The 17,608-nt window shown below is 40.9% G+C and overlaps 1 protein-coding gene and 1 non-coding gene across 7 annotated transcripts in view; both read right to left on the reverse strand.

Moving 5' to 3' along the window:
• Positions 1-17,608, reverse strand: part of DOCK10 (dedicator of cytokinesis 10) — a 277,379-nt gene that overhangs the window by 229,012 nt on the left and 30,759 nt on the right. The gene's annotated exons all lie outside the window — the stretch shown is intronic.
• Positions 16,360-16,439, reverse strand: MIR4439 (microRNA 4439). The gene has a single exon (NR_039641.1). It is a non-coding gene; the product is annotated as a microRNA 4439 (primary transcript).

Raw genomic sequence — 17,608 nt, forward strand, 5'->3', positions numbered from 1 at the left:
TCATTTAATATATAAGATTTTTTAAAAGAGTAGCCTATCAACTTATGCTGTGGCCACCTCTATAGAAGCTAATGGTGATATAAAGCTTCAAAATCAAGTTTAATATGACATCAGAGGTAGTATATGTACTGGTTAAGGAAGATTCTAGAAAAAGTCAGCCTGGATTTGAAAGTCAGTTCTGTCTCTTACTAGCTTGGTAATCTTCAGCAAGTTACTTAACTCCTCTCAACCTTCACACTTCCCTCAGAAGACTGCTGTGAGAATTAAGTGAGATAATATGTATAAAAGGTTTAGCATGGTGCCAGGAAGTAGTACTACAAGGTCAACAAGTGGCAGCTACTATTACCCTCTCCAAAAAGTGGGAGACACTGTCCACCAGAAAGTCTCTACTTCTGCTTTCTCTCACAGGCATTGAATATGTGAGATGCAGTACTCACTAAAACATTGTCACAACAAAGATTGCTTCTTTCTAGCAGCTTCTATCTTAGTATGGTCTGACACTTAATCATCATTGCTAACATATGTTGGGAGCTCCTTGGAAAGAGGTCACTGGTACACATCCAGTGTCGACAGACAAGATCTTCCTCTGACTGGTCTGTTTCAGGGTATATAATATGTTATTCTTCTACTCACTTTATGTAGCTCTTTTTCTAGTTCAAAGCAAATTTTTACACACACACACTTACACACACAATGCATAAAATAAATCTGTGTTTGTTATCTATTGTTGAAGAACACGGTATTCCAAAACTTAATGGCTTTAAACAAAAATAAACTTTTGTTATCTCACAGTTTCTGTGCGTCAGGAATTCAGGAGTGGCATAGATGTGTAGTTCTGGCTCAAGTGTTTCCTGAGGTTGCACACAAGATGTTGACTGGGCCCATGGTCATCTGAAGGCTGCAGGTGCCCTCCCACGGTTCACACACACGGCTGGCAAGTCAGGAGGGGAAGGTGACAAACCTGACTTCCTCAGCAGGTGGGTTTCTCCACAGGGTTGCTTGGGTGTCCTCATGACATGGCAGCTGGCTTCTTCTAGAGCCAGAAATCCAAGACGATAAGGAGGAAGCCACACTGAACAATCTAAGTTACTGGAGTTTGAAGTTTATGACCAGTCTAAGTTACACACTATTATTTCTGCAATATCCTGTTGGTCTATAGTTTAGTCCCATTCAGAGCGGGAAGGAACTACACAGGGCATGAGTATCAAGAGGTAGAGGTTGTTGGAGTCCGCCTTGAAGACAGTCTCACTGTAGACACCCACTGCCACACACAAATTATATGTATAAGAAGCATCTTTAGTAAATCATCTAATGTCAACACATATAATTCAACAAGCACTTATTGAACACCTATTATCTATCTCACGCCAATAATACACAGGAGGGCCTCTTGTAGTTGTTTCTGGGTCTTGAAAAATTTGGATATTTTAATGTAACTTTTACTATTCTAGCATTGAAAGGATGTTGCGTAGCATAGGTGTCCACAGGGACTTGCTTCCACTCCCTCCTCACAAGACAGAACCATGGAGAGCCACCCAGTCCAAATGAGCCAAGAATGTAAGTCATCAATTGCTGGAGAGAATGCTTTTAAAAAAGCATGGTTAATTGTGCAAATCTCGGTACATTCCCTTGTTTTCAGGATGTGGAAAGTGATAGCTGCATTTTTAACTTTTTGGTTTTCTTTGAGAAAAAGGTATTATATCAGCTTGAAGAATTTTTAATGTGTATTGCTCACACTCTTGGCCAAGAACTTGTTTTAATGTAAAAATGATACTATGGATATCCAAACTCCAATTTTTGCAAAAGCCCAGGTTTTTTAGGTAAACTTCTACATGGAATTTTTGTTCTTAGCATTTTAGCTAGTTACATGATAGATGTTATTAACTTCCTTGGAACTGACTATGGGGTAATTTGAGTCAACTAGTAAGTTATCCAAAATAAATGGCTAGGCCATTACTTGGCCTAACCATTGCTTATGCAATAAAAGTCTCATTCAAGTCTCCTACCCACTCAAGCAAGTACTTCGTTTCTCTCCTCTTCATCACACTGTGTGATAAAAGGTCACCCTATATCTGCTGTTTCTAATCAGGCACAGTGGGGCCTGGTGATCACTAGGAGTCGGCTGGGGGTGCAAGAGGATAAGCTGCCTGGTATGACACAAAATATGACAACTGAATTAGTAGAAGAAACAAATCCTAAAAGGCCAGGTATCCATCCAAACTTCAAGGGGACTTGTAGACATGAATTCAATCACAATGGGTTAGACCACTTGTGTTCAAGTCCTGGCTCAGCCATTTATCAGCTGTGTAACAATGGAGAAGAGACTTAACTTCTCTGCATTTCATCTGTAAACTAAGGAGAGTAAGTGTAATGACAGTTAGGATGCCCATATAATTGACCATCCAAACTAGAACCCTTTGAAAGTGAGAGGGTGCTATTAATAATTATGCAAACATAGGGACTATTCACAGACAGAATGGAATGCACGGCTACCTTGTTAATGGTTTCTAACCCTTATGGCTACTGCGAAAATCAAATAAGAAAATCCATGTGAAATCACTTAGCCAGGTGTTTGGCATAATAATGTCAATAAGCATCAGCAATATGACCAGGGCTTAATAGTGAAGAGGTCCCATAGTGAAGAAGCACTGAGCAGCTTTCGAACTTGACTCTGCAGGCAGGTTGGCAGATTAAATTTCAGGGTGAAAGGAGATGCAGGCCCCAGACATCAGGGGTGGTATTGAGACAAATATCTAGCATGTATAGGGGTGCAGCAGGCAGACCAGATTAGAGGATTAGAGTCTGGCTGCTGCCTTGCAGAGAAGCTGGAGTGAGGAATAGCAATTGGATCAGAAGCTCCACTAGCCACACTGACTTCTGATTAGAGGCAGGAGAAGGAAAGGACAAGACAGTTCTACCTCAGTATTCATGTAACTTCACAAGATCTTTGTTTGCCCTACATTTGGCATCTCCAAATTCTCACCTCTAACTTCAAAATCTACTGTAACCCCCATATGCTTATTTCCATGTTTCTGTCTTCATAATCTGCTTCCCACCAAATTCAACACTGCCTTTGGGGTTGGGGTTTGTCCCTCCCTCCCTCCCTTCCCTCCCTCCCTTCCTTCCTTCCTTCCTTCCTTCTTCCTTTCTTTCGGAGTCTCACTCTGTTGCTCAGGCTGGAGTGCAATGGCATAATCTTTGCTCACTGCATCCTCTGCCTCCCGGGTTCATGTGATTCTCCTGCCTCAGCCTCCCGAGTAGCTGGACTTACAGGTGCCTGCCACCATGCCCGGCTGATTTTTGTATTTTTAGTAGAGATGGGGTTTCACCATGTTAGCCAGGCTGGTCTCGAACTCTTGACCACAGGTGATCCGCCCACCTCAGCCTCTCAAAGTGCTGGGATTACAGGCGAGAGCCACCGCGCCCGGCTGTCCTATTCTTTTTAACAGCAGCACCATTTTCCCTGAGACACTGGGGTGATCTTTGCTGCCCTCCTCTTCACTGCCATCCGTGTGCAACCTGCAACAAGCTCGGCTCAAATGTACCTGCTGATGGAGGGCGGGAGGAGAGGAGTTAGACAGCAGCCCATGTAGGAGTACATGCAGCACCCAGTGTGTGAGGCAGGAATGGTGAGCACAAAATTGAAGTCCAGGGCTATGTACTAACAGGCTTGAAAGCACCAGGATAGAATTCAGAAAGAGAGCCGCTACCAAACACGCAATATGGTTCAAAGCCACAGAGAAGATTTTAGACCTGAAGGCAGACTCGCAGAGGGAAGACTGGTGGCTCGAAGAGAGCCTTAAAGAGCCCAGGGGGCTACCAGAAGACCAAGCAGGGTGTGGGCGTGTAGGCATGGAGATATAAACAACATTCTGGCAAACAAAGATGTGTCGCTCCAGCTGGCTCTTGTCTGTTTTCCCTCATGTAGGTTCCAAAAGCTGTGATGTTCTGTACCCTCAGAGCTCTCAGTGACTCAGGAACACATGCCCGTATTTCGATTTCTAGTGCTACCCTCCTGGTTATAGTTCTCATTACTTTCAATCTCATGGTGCCCTGGGATTCTAAGAGTGAGATAAATATGAATTGGAAAGTGGCAATCTATTTTGGATTCTCTATTAGAAATATGCCAAATGTAAGTTTTTAATACATTTTCTTAATATTTTGCCTCTGTTGCTGCTTCTCTGTGAGTCAGGATTAGCAGCTGCATAAAAATGAACAAGGAGCAAACGAACATTACCAAAATGATTCAGGAGCATCGGGGTTTTCTTGGCTCAACACCTTGGTATTATTTGTATTCTTCTTGCTCTTTTTAAATATTTGCTTACATCCCCCTTACATTCTCCTTGGTGTCAGATGCAAGGGAAGGTTTCCCTTCTCTGGAAACAATCTCTGTACTCTCATCTCTTCCAGGGTCTTGCTCCATCAATCATTCCTCTCCCCTCTCCTGGTTCCTTCCCTTTAGCAGCATAAAAGCTTCTGCTATATATAAAATAACTCCCCCACAACACACACATATACAACTTTCTTCAACCCTAAGATTTCTTTGGCTAAAGCATTCTTTCACCTTCCCTCACTGGCAAACACCTGGAAAACATAATCTAAGCACCCCCTTTCTTCCCTTCTTCTTTTCCCATTCACTCTTAACCCAGGGGGATTGACAACAAGCATTTACTATACCCAACTGCCTCCATCAAAGAGTCACAAGTCAGCTCTCTGCATGTGATTTTTATATGGGAAAAGGATGGCTGAAATTCTTAGAAGTGTTTTCTCTTATGAAAGTGTTGCTCTTAAAATTTCATTTATAGCCGGGTGTGGTGGCTCACATCTGTAATCCCAGCACTTTGAGAGGCCCAAGCAGGTGGATCACTTGAGGTCAGGAGTTTGAGACCAGCCTGGCCAATATGGTGAAACCTCGGCTCTACTAAAAATACAAAAGTTAGCTGGGTGTGATGGTATACACCTGTAGTCCCAGCTACTCAGGAGGCTGAGGCAGGAGAATCTCTTGAACCTAGGGGGCAGAGGTTGCAGTGAGCTGAGATGGCACCACTGCACTTCAGCCTGGGTGACAGAGTAAGACTTTGTCTAAAAGATATCATTTATAGTATTGTTTTTCTTTGTCTTTCTCTCTCTCTTTCTCTGTCTCTCTCTCTTTTTTTTTTTCAATAAGGGTCTCGCTATGTTGCCCACGCTGCATTCCTGGCTTTAAAGATCCTCCTGACTTGGCCATCATGCCCTACCTCATTCATAGTTTAAACTTTTTGCAAACATCTTCTTCAGAGTTGCTTCAGCACTGTTATTCCAGCGAGTGAAGCTCAACTTAATAAGATATTAATATGCTAGCTTTCTTCCCTCCCTCCCTTCCTGCCTCCCTCCCTTCCTGCCTCCCTCCCTTCCTGCCTCCCTCCCTCTCTCCCCTCTTTCCTTATTTTCTCTATTTAATGAAAATTTACTGACTGCTAGTCTGTGCTAGACAATATCCCAGGCCCTTGGGATAAAACAGTGAATACAGAGACACAAAGAGTCCTATCCTCTGGGAGCTTATATTTTGGTGCAAATCTCAAAAATAATATGATTCCCTCTTGGGAAAATATCCATAAACACTATAATGGTGTTTTTTTTTTTTTTGGTAGATTCTTTAGTCTAAAATGAGTGTTGTCTGGTTGAATGCCCATAATTGCAGATAAGAAAAATTAAGCCCAAAGAAGCGGCGGTTCCAAGGTCTCCAACCTGAGAGTTGCAGTCTGACAGTATGCAACAGTAAATATGTATTTTATTGCATGCCAAGAGCTTGGAAAAGCTCAGCTATGGATTGAAAGCTTTATTATGTGTGGTGCAACAGGATCTCTCTGATCATTCTTCAGACAGCATCCTGCCTGATGTCACAAGGCACTGAAGCAGGAACTGCTGAATTGGCAAATGACCTTCAGTTTGAAAATTACAGTATATCCAAAGGGAAGAGATGTGAATTTCAATTTCATACACTTTCTATGCAAAAATATAGCTGGCCCAGGGAAGATTCATGATGAGTCTTCCGAAGCCACAAAGGCTATGTTCTATCATTTATAAAGCAGCATTGGGATCACTCAAGTCACACACACACACAGACACACACACACACACACAGACACACACACACACACACATGCAATTACTGGTTTTACACATGATGGAAAACTGACTTCAGTCTTATTGCTGCAGTTTATAATGATCTATGTGGCCAGATTCTAAAACTAGAAGGAAAGAACCGCTGGGGATCTCCTAGTATCTATAAACACATATTCTATTTATTACAGTCATTCGTGGAATTGTGCTTTCCACATGCGGAAGAGTGAAAGTTGAGTTCTCTAGCAAAGGAAGAAACAATTGTATTGTTTTGAGCATTTCCTGTTCGTAATTCATTGAAAGCAATTGGTGCCAATCCTGTGAGAAGGCCTGGAGAATTTCAACACGTTCACAATGTCTCCAAGGTGTCTACGCCAACAGTAGGGCGGGAAAAAGGGATTGACAGTAGTGACTCTACGAGCCAGCCATGCTTCTGTGTCTTTCCCTCAGAGAAAGGTTGCCCGAAACAGGTCATAGGCTACTACTAGAAAGAAAATCAGGCCGGGTGGCTCATGCCTGTAATCCCAGCACTTTGGGAGCCTGAGACAGGAGAATCACTTGGAGTCAGGAGTTCGAGACCAGTCTGGCCTGGTGAAACCTCGTCTGTACTAAAAATACAAAAATTAGCTGAGCATGGTGGCTTACGCCTGTAATCCCAGCTACTCGGGAGGCTGAGGCAGGAGGATCGCTTGAACTGAGGACGCAGAGGTTGCAGTGAGCCGAGATCGTGCCACTGCACTGTAGCCTAGGCAAGAGTGAGACTCCATCTCAAAAAGAAAAAAAATTAATCACTAGAAGCTATTGTGTTAATCTGGCTAATGATGTGTTAATTGGAGTTAAACTATGAAGTGGCTTAGTGCTGTTTTGTGTCAACAGTGGGATGCCAAACATTATTATGGGCAGTGATATTTTATCAGTACTTTAAAGTGACTGGTTAGCTACTAATAGTAGAAATAGTAGCAGTAGTCTGGCCACATTCAGGGTATATGCATTTATCAGTAAGTACATAGATGAACTAGCAGGTAGGTGCTCGGGACTTTGGTAAGTCATGAATGAAAAGAGCTACACAACAATATACAACAGACCTTTTTTTTTTTTTTTTTTGAGACGGAGTCTCGCTCTGCCACCCAGGCTGGAGTGCAGTGGCTTGATCTCAGCTCACTGCAAGCTCCGCCTCCCGGGTTTACGCCATTCTCCTGCCTCAGCCTCCCAAGTAGCTGGGACTACAGGTGCCCGCCACCATGCCTGGCTAATTTTTGTGTATTTAGTAGAGATGGGGTTTTACCATGTTAGCCAGGATGGTCTTGATCTCCTGACCTTGTGATCCACCCGCCTCAGCCTCCCAAAGTGCTGGGATTACAGGTATGAGCCACTGTGCCTGGCCAGTATACAACAGACTTTCTATAATAGAGTTTTATTTGCAATACTGTGGAAGGGCAGTGTCTTAGTCCATGCAGGCTGCTATAATAAATACCATAACCTGGGTGGTTTATAAACAACAAAAATTAATTTCACACAGTTCTGGAGGCAGGAAGTCCATGATCGAGGCGTCGGCAGGTGTGGTGTCTGTGAGGGCCTGCCTCCTGGTTCACAGATGGCATCTCCTTGGTTTGTCCTCACATGGTAGGAGGAGCAAATGAGCTCCCTTGAGCCTGTTTCGTAAGGGCACTAATCCCACTCCTGAGGGCTCTGCCCTCATGACCTAACCATCTTCCATAAGGCCCCACCTCCTAATACCACCGTCTAAGGAGTTAGGATTTCAACATGTGAATCTGGGGGGAGATGGTAAGGCGACACACATAAGCAACCCATAGCCAAGAGAGAGGGAGCGTAATTCAGTCAGGGGGATTCCATATGGCTTCTCAGAGTCTAAGCTATTTGACCTGGGCCGTGAAGGATGAATAAATGACACTTGGGAGGAAAAGTGAGTTAGAGTATTTCAAATGTGAAAGGCTATGTGGCTCACGAAGGCATCTGACTTTTGAAGGCCGATACCACTTGTTTACCTGATGCTAAACTCTCCCTATATTAGCACTGCCCCCTGCTGTCCATTGTGAGAAGAGGTCTGAAAGGACAAATGCATCCTTTTTGCCATTTTGCCCTTTAAAAATGAACAGACTGTCATCCTCAATATCACTTATTTGTAGTATCATTTCTTCAAGTTTCCATTACCAAGTGGCATGCTGAATAAAAGCAGGCACAGACCAAGAACAGCAATGACAACACGGCTTTCTCAGTGAGTTTACATAGATGTAAGCCTGATTCCACCTCTTAGGGTCCTTTATTGATAGATAAGTCATACATTTCTTTGGCCTCAGTAGTTGAGATTTAGTCAGCTCTTCAGCTCTCTTTAACTGTTAACTGATGAGAATATTTGGAGACAGAAAATGTCTCAGTGACTCCTCATCATAGTGAGACAATGGCCACGCCATGCCACGAGGAGCTAGTTGCATGGGCAGGCAGGTGTAAACATCCACATATGCAGAAAGAAAAAAGCCAGCAGCTGGCATCTCGTCACCCACAGCTTCCAGAAACAGTCTGGAATGTTGTTGGATGCTCAACACTGCAGAATTGGTATGAACCACATCAGTGTGGTCTGTCTTGCATGATCGGGCAGGTGTAAACATCCACATATGCAGAAAGAAAAAAGCCAGCAGGTGGCATCTCGTCACCCACAGAATGTTGTTGGTCGCTCAACACTGCAGAACTGGTATGAACCACATCAGTGTGGTCTGTCTTGGGGCAGACAGCAAGAACCGAGAAATGACCAGGGTAAATTCTGAGAGTGACAAATTCCATCTCTATTTGAGAATGGGAAGGAATTTGAAGGTTACATTTTTATTTTTATTTTATTCTATTTTAGAGACAGGGTCTCACTTTATCACCAGGCTGGAGTGCAGTGGCATGATCTCAGCTCACTGCAGCTTCGACTTCCTGAGCTCAAGTGATGCTCCCACCTCAGCCTCCCGAGTAGCTGGGACTATGTGTGTACCACCACACCTGGCTAATGTTTGTATTTTTAGTAGAGGCAGGATTTCACCATGTTGCCCAGGCTGGTCTTGAACTCCTGGACTCAAGTATGCATCTGCCTCGGCTTCTCAAAGTGCTGGGATTACAGGTGTAAGCCACCGTGCCTGGCTGGAAGGTTACATTTTTCAGTTTGAGTTTTGGGTAAACATCCCCATGGAGATCCTAAGTTCACTGATGGTGGTGTGGGACCTTTTATGATTCCACTAGAATGCTGATCTTGGGAGTAGAATTCTCCTTAGAACCGTGGCTGATGCAACTCGAATCAGAAGAAAGACCCACAATCTGGAAATCCTGACACTTTCCTGAGTGTGTTGACTTCATGTTTGACTGAATGAACCTTTTGTTCAAAAAAGGCAAATCTAAAACACAGACATACGCTTCACTTCTTTTAGTTTCAAATTAAAAGTTTTATCTAATAGTAGTATTTGTTCAAAATTTTACAAGGTAACATTGTTGATGTTTCATTAGCATCCCTGATCCCTAATGGCCATCCTATCTCTTAAACCACAAGAAATATTGTCTCTTTAAAGTCCATAATGTGCATTTACACTGATAAAATAAGGCCAGTGACTCCCAAGCTGCTTTGGGGAAAGAGGCCATCTTTTCTCTGTGTGACTTGTTCAGTGGCAATTGGAGTTTTACATCTGCTCTACAGGTCCAATCATAATAGAGCTCACTGTTATGTTAAATGTAGTTAGGTCTATCAAAATGTTAATAAACATGATAATGACAAACTAAGGAGATAGTTATCATAAAATGATGATAACATTTCTTGACTGTGTCGTATGTGCTCAGCATTTTCTCGTTTCGTTTTGTCTGTGATGTAAGTATCATGATCATTCCTTGCAGTGGGTTGCAAAGTGGCTCCCCCAAAGATATGCCCATATCCCAATCACTGGAACTCATGAATGTGACCTTATTTGGAAAAAGGCTCTTTGCAGATGAGTTAAGCCTTTCAAGATGAAATCCTCTTGGATTATTTAAGCTGGCCGTAAATCCAATGAAAAGTGTTCTTATGAGATAGCAGAGGAAAAGACACAGAGAGAAAAGGAAGAAAAGGTGGGAAAGACATATGAAGACGAAGGCAGAGACTGGAGTTGTGTGGCCACAGGCCAAGGCATTCTTGGAGCCACCAGAAACTGGAGGAGGCAAGGCAGGATTTGCCCCTAGAACTTTTAGAGGGAGTGTGGCCCTGCTGACTTGATTTTGGACTTCTGGCCTGTAAGAATAAATATCTATTGTTGTCATAAGCCACTTAAGTTATGCTCATTTGTTATGGTGGCCCTAGGAAACTAGTGCATCCTTATTTTGAAGTTGAGAAACTGGAAGCTCAGAGAGGTTAAATAACTTCCCAGAGCCACAGAGCTAGCCTTAAGAAATGGGGGAGCTGTGTTTGAATTGACATCCTTCTGACTCAAGCACCTGTGCTCTAGGCATGAAGCCACATGTCGGCTTAATAATTCAGAGAGCATTTGTTTTCCTAAGACAGAACCAAGGATGTGAAGAGTGTGCTGATGCAATTTCAGAGCAGGCTCTCCCAGCAGCTTCCTGCTTCCAGAATGCATTTTTTGCATTAAAAAAGCCATTAGAGTTTGTCCATCAGCAATTCAGTCCACGTGTGGCTCAGCCTCCCAGCTCAGGGATAAGGTAGTTCTATACTTGGCCCCCAAAGGCCTTGCTTTATTTCTCTAATCATAAGTATGATTGTCTTGACTCATGCTGGGCAATAATACAATGGAGAATGAACATTAAATTAAATCTATAAAGAGCCTAAAATCAATCAACCCCTTCATGAAACTAATTTTAGAAAAGAGGTCATTAGATATATTAGAGGCAATTTGAAAGTTAACTGAGAAATGAGACCTCATGTTCTCTTTGGAAAAAAACCTTTTTGTCATGAGATAGATAGAATTTGTACTTCCATCAGAGTAGTACAGCTGCCACAAAAACCCTACAAATCTCTAGGAGTCAAAATGGTGATTTTATGCTTCAAGTACAGCAGATTACCACTGTTATCCCATATACATGGATAATGGCAAACAACTTTCTATTCTCCATGGGCCATCAAACCACCTCTCAGCAATGTAAGGACATGATTTCAATCATTGGTGAATTCAGAAGAGGAGAAAAGCCATCTTCAAAATATGTACAGTTTTTGTAATTCTAATTGGATTTTATACTAGAGCAGTGTTAACTGAATGTCAGTTATTCATGTCCCACCATCTTGATTTTTGCCAAATCATAGTATTACCTGTTAGTATATACTTAACAAAATCCTTTTAATCAATGACTACCTTTTTTCCATAAAATTTCATTTTAAACTAAAACTGTATTCTTTGACGTAAACAGGACAACAGTATCACTTGTAAAAAACAGAATAACTGAAAGTAATGGTATAATACAAGGACAAAATTAAATAAATGTTGCCATTCAGTTTTAGTTCAATGTTGTTGTCTACCAAAGTTTCTAAGCCCAAGCCCACTCGGTCTTTGTGTGAAGGGGAAGAATTGCAAATATTAGGCAAGCGTTATGGACAAACTAATGTTAAATTGAGACTTTATCCTCAGTGTAATCTGAAGTTTGAAAGATAACTGAAACAAAATCTTCCACACAATATGATCCAATGTTATTTAAAGCTGTGTATGAAACCACCCAAAATAATTTAGAGATTATCCATGTGTCTAATTTAACAAAGTCAAGAGAGAGCTGATGCTCACTGCCAAAGACCACCCTCTAGGGTGTACAAAAACATCTTGGAGGTTTTTATTAGGTGCCTCATGAAATAGAGTGGAAAGAGTGAAGATGGGTATTAATATTTTTTGGAGGGGTGAGTATGGATAGGTGAGGTAATTTTCTAGGCAGAGCAAACACATTATAAATATATTTTAAATATTTGACCAATACGAAAACCATCTTCATTCTTCTCCCCACCTTTACTTTATGGACTGTTTCCATACCTTCCATTTATGGCCATCTTAGTTTGAGTGGCATGGGTTAGTATAAAATCCCCTAGTGGTTTCCTAACTGCAATTCTTGTCTTTTTTAGATTAAGCTTACACATTTACTTATATCACAGCTTTAGCTGAAAAGCTTCAAAATCTCCCTCAAGTTCATCAAATGATCCAAATGAGGAGGAACGTACAAAGGCCCCTTTTAATCAGGCTCTTATCTGCTAGGTAAACCTAATAAGTTCTGCTCCATTTCTTAAATGTCGACATACCTCCCATTTATGTTTTAGCCCCTGCCACTTTTTGCACTTAGAGTTCCTCTCAATGCTTCCAATCAAAATCCTTCATTTTTCAAAGACCAGTTCAAAGAGCACACTTGCTGAGGTCCTGTGATGAAGGTAATGTCTCTGTCTTCTAAGCCGTTCTAGTCCTCCTACTACACCTATCACACACTGTCTAACATGAGTTATTTGAGTACATCTCTTATTTGTATTGATGGTTTCAATCTATGTTTGGAGAAATAAAAGGAGCAAGGAAGGAATAAACATGCAGATTAGAGTTGAGAAACATTGATGGATATCAGAGTTAATCTCTCATGTTGTTTCTGTCCTCTCAAAGTCAATGACCTGTGCATACAAAGGGTAAAGTGAACCTTGAAAAGGGGGAAATAAAATCCCCAGTTTTAAGACAGTACTAGCAGTCCTGAGGACTTGAACTTCAAGCCATTAGATTACACTGAGGTGTGCTGAGCCAACTCACCTAACTGCAGTCAAGAGCTCTCAGGATGTGTGAAGACAGGCTAGAAGGTTTGAGAATGCATAAATGTGTCACAAAATGTATGAAAGGAACGTGAGATAGATTCTGCAATCCATCATCTTGCTTTCTGTTTACTTCTAGTAAATTTCTAGAGTGGACATTAACAGGATGATTTGTCAGCTCTTACGAAAGAAAAAGGTGGTTAGCAGGTACTAGTGCAGATCACTAAGACCAAATTAAGTCATGATAATCTTATTTCCTTTTCCCTGGCCTGAGATGAGAAGATTGTATGAGTTTTATGAAGGTATATAATAAGAACTCTGAGATGTTTTTGTACCTCCCAGAAGGTGGTTTCTAGCAGTAAGCATTACAACTCTCTCTTGACTTTGTTAAATTAGATGCATGCATAAATAAAACCTGTAAATAGTCCATGAGGCCAACATTGTTGTAAATAAACTGAAGTTTAAAGCAGACTTAGTAGGTTGACATAACTAGAACCCATAATATTCCCACATGCAAGTTAAGTCTAAGAAGTTGTACTTTAAGGAGGATTAAAAGAAGATCCTGATTTACATAAAAGTTAAAAGGATATAAAAGAAAGACATGATTTAACAGTGCATTTGTGAAAAAGACTTGGGCATCAATATAAACCAACCTGATGAGGAATCTAATATTAAGTTGTATTAGAAGAAAACATAGTATTTAGAATAAAAAAGGTGGTGATCCTGGTTTTCATGGCAGTGATGAAACTTGAAATATTGTGTTTAATTCTTGGAGACAGATTAGGAAGGATACAGACAAGCAGGACCGATTGCAAGGAGAGCAATGAAGACATTAAAAAACATCCACAAAAAAGTCCGGAAGAATGATGGTTAGCTTTGGAAAGATAAGACTACAACAGGCTTGACAATTGTTTTTGAAAACTTAAAAATGGTCATGTAAAAAAGAATTACGCCTAATTGTGAGCATGATCAGGGATATGCATTCTGTTCTTTAAGAAATGCTGCTATCATCTAATTTTTTTTTTTCAATGGAGTGGGGGCAAATAAAAGTAAAGTGACTTTCCACGCATAGCAGATCCAATATGCTCAAATGTCACCCAAAGGAGTAGAGTTAAAGCCATGGCTGGAAGTTCATGAGCATCAATCCTGACTCAGTATATTGAAGAGTATTTTAGAAGTAAAAGCTGTACCAAACATGGGATTAGTCTTCTTGTCATTCATTCATAAACTTTTTATTTCTTTAGAGATGAGGTCTTGCTATGTTGCCCAGGGTGGACTCAAATTCCTGGGCTCAACTGATCCTCTCTCCTCAACCTCCAGAGTAGCTAGGACTACAGGCATGGGTCACTGTGCCCTGCCGAGAATTCACAAACATTTCTTGAGTGAAGACTCTTTGTTATGCATGGTGCTAGATTGTGAGTAGTGGACACTTTTTCTTCTGAGGCAGTCTTATATCAACACTTTATGCTGACTTTGTAAGAATATTCATGTTTTAAGAAGATACACAAAAACTATTTATTTAGCATTTATGGGTTTCAGTGATCAGCTGGCATTTTCTTTTCCTCAGAATTTAAAATATCTTCTGTAGGCTAACCAAAATATCACTGGGTAACTACCTACATTTCCTTTGAATTGGCAGTTGGGAGCACTGGTATCACTTCCTCTACCAAACTGTACAGAACTACTGTTATGTACCAAAGACCATAAATCACAGAGTTGCTGGGATTGTGAAAAAAATATTGAGACTGGCTGTCTCATCTTACAAATAAGGAAACCAAAGTCCAAGTGGGGCAAGTACTACCTGTAATGACATATCCAAAATGAGAGCACAGGTCCACTGAATCGTCCTTAGTACTCTATCCAATGCTCCACTATCTGCCCATAATATCCCACAGGTTACTATGTGTCGACACAAAGATAGACTAGGATTGACCTGAACAAACAGCCACAGTTATGTTAAACAAGCACCGTTTCCACCTCTCATAAGCTGTGTCTGATTTGCCATAAATCTCAAGCCAAATACGTCCAGTGAGTTGTACATTTATCATGTTAAGATGAAGGCTCTACTGGTGATAGATTTACTAAAAATATTCCAATCTTGTAATCTAAAGGACTTCAGCCTCAGGTGATATGGGGCCAGCAGCCAACATTGGAAAGACCACATCATGAAGTGAGGCTATACCGCCCTCTAGGGAGAGATGCTTGAAAAACCAGGGTCGACGCCTAAGTAAGGGGGTCACAGATTAGGTTTAAGTGGTTAAAATTTTATGTCTTCACAAAAAGTTTCCAACTACAGAAGAGTATTTAATTTTTCGCTAAGATGTAATATTCTACCTACCAAGAAAATCAATCACTGAATCAAAATATTAAAAAATAGGTGATATTAAGTTCTATAACAGTAAAACCTTAAGAAGGGAAGCTCTCTGAACATTAAAATACTCAGCCGAATTTCTAAATTAGTAAGACTTCAAAAAAGAAGACCATAATATCCACTATGTCCACTTATTAGCTTCAATCAAATAAGAGATTACTTTTGCAATTATTCTTCATGCAAAAAGATCTGTTAATCTCCCTGAGTGTCTCCCTACAAATCTCATTTCACCTGGGTGGCTCTTGGCAAGGTTAGCAGAATGTCGTCTGCAGAGAAGAAATGCAGAAATGCAGTTGAAGGGAACAATGACAAAGGCAAGCCCTAAGGCAAAAAAAAAAAAAGAAAGAAAAAAGAAAACAACAACAAAAACATGAAAACTGTATTCAGAGTTTGCTTACAAAGAGAAAACTCTCCAAAGCAATGAACTGAAACTGGCCACTGGAAAGACTTGTTTATAGATGTTCATTTTGACTCAATAGTACGCTGGAGTCCTACTCTTTATTTAATGATATGGTCAAGTCATGCAGGCTGATGTGGATGTGATCAGAGAGACTAACAAGAGTCTTTGTGTTGCCCTCCTGCATAGTTGAGGGATTAGATTTCTTTAAGAGTTGTACTGGTTAACCGTTAACTGAGTAACAAACTGCCCCAAACACTCAGGGGCATAGAAAAAAATGCAGCCATTTTTTCATGTGGCTAAGGAGCCTAAAGGTTGTCTGGGCAGTTCTTCTGGCATTGGCTGGGGCTTTACTCATGCATCTGCAGTCAGCTGCAGGTCCACTAGGCAGTTCTGAGGGTGTGTGGGGCCTTGGCTAGAATAACCAGGTAGATTCAGCTCTTTTCCTTAAATCTCATCTGCCAGCAACCAAGCCAGGCATTTTCCTATGGCAATGGCAGAGGATCAAGAGAGGAAGAAGAGGCAGTCAAGAACCTTTTAAGCCTTGCTGTGTTTAGTTTATTAGTGTCTCATGGGCCAAAGCAAATTTTAACAAGAAGCCTAAACTCAGTGTGGGAGGGCACCCCCAAAGGGCCTGGATAGAGAGAAGTATGAAGAACTGGGGAGGTGAATGCAATTAATTTGCCAGGCCAGGGGACAGAATCTTATATTGTCCCCTAGACAACCTAGAGGAAAATATAAAATTCTGTCTCCTGGCCTGGTAAACTGATACCTTAGAGGCATTTGCTTTGTGTGTATCTTAGATAAAATGCCTCCAAGGTATCAGTCACTGGTACCCTAGCTGACATCAGTTTCTTTTAGAAGAGCAGACTTTGAGAAAGGGAAGGGACACTGGGAAAGGGAACGTAAGATCAGTTCAGGCACTTCATCTTTTGATTCAAATAAGACAGTTCATACAATTTTGGGGGTTAACATTATTACAGAATGAATTAGAGTTGGGAATATAGATTAAAAGTTGAAAAAGAAATACAGAAAAGCAAATCAAAATTTTTTTTCAAAGACAGACATCAACTAATGCAGAATGAGAAACAAGATAAATCCTGCAAAACTTTTCCAAGGAAGCATTCAGCCTCTATCAAATGGGTCAGCTAAGAAGCTAAACGGCACAGCAAGGACATACTGATCCCATCATCTTCATGGTTCTAAATCAAACCAAACGTAGGTAAAAGGCCTGATATCTTCTCAGCTGATGAGTCAAATACTTCGAAGGGAAAATATAGTAAAATATTTCAAGGTTTGGAAGACAGCTTGGCTGTGACACATTCTGACTCACAACAAGTCATGAGTTTTCTGACAAAGCAAAAGTAGTGATGGAAAATATTGATATGATATCTATCATAGCATATGTATATAGTCAAAGTTCTTTCACAGCAAGCAAGTGTTGCCAAATGATCAGTTCAAAGAAGATTTCACGCCAATGAAGATGATTACAAAAAGGAAAAAGAGGCAATGTCGCAGTAGTTGCCAGAAAGGACTTACGGCTTTTCAGGTAGGTAGATAAGTCACAGGTACAAAGAAAAAATGAGATAGAAGCACATATTTGCCACACAAATAAACCTGCTAGAAGTATTCATGCTGGAAGTTTCAGCTTCCTAAAGTGACTCTTTCCATAGCCAGAGAGAAAAGAGGTTGCAAGATCAAGTTACTTTAAAGAAGAAATGAAATTCAAATTAAATTAACTCTTAGAGTGTTGAATATTGACATCAATGCCACCAGCCAATGTGAAGGTAAAGAGAGGCCTGCAGTTATGACTTCAGGACATACATGGCTTTCTTATAAAATGTTTATGTTGGCAGTTTTACTGCAAATAATACCTTCGAAACTGAAATGCATCTATTTAATCCTGATTTTTAAACAGTAAAGACTCTGAACTTTAGCAAAGAAAATCAACCAAGTCAAGTCCAGAGTTGGGTGCAGTTGAATGAAAGGAAGACGTTGGGGC

This window comes from Homo sapiens, chromosome 2 (genome assembly GCF_000001405.40).
Source record: "Homo sapiens chromosome 2, GRCh38.p14 Primary Assembly".
NCBI lineage: Eukaryota > Metazoa > Chordata > Mammalia > Primates > Hominidae > Homo > Homo sapiens.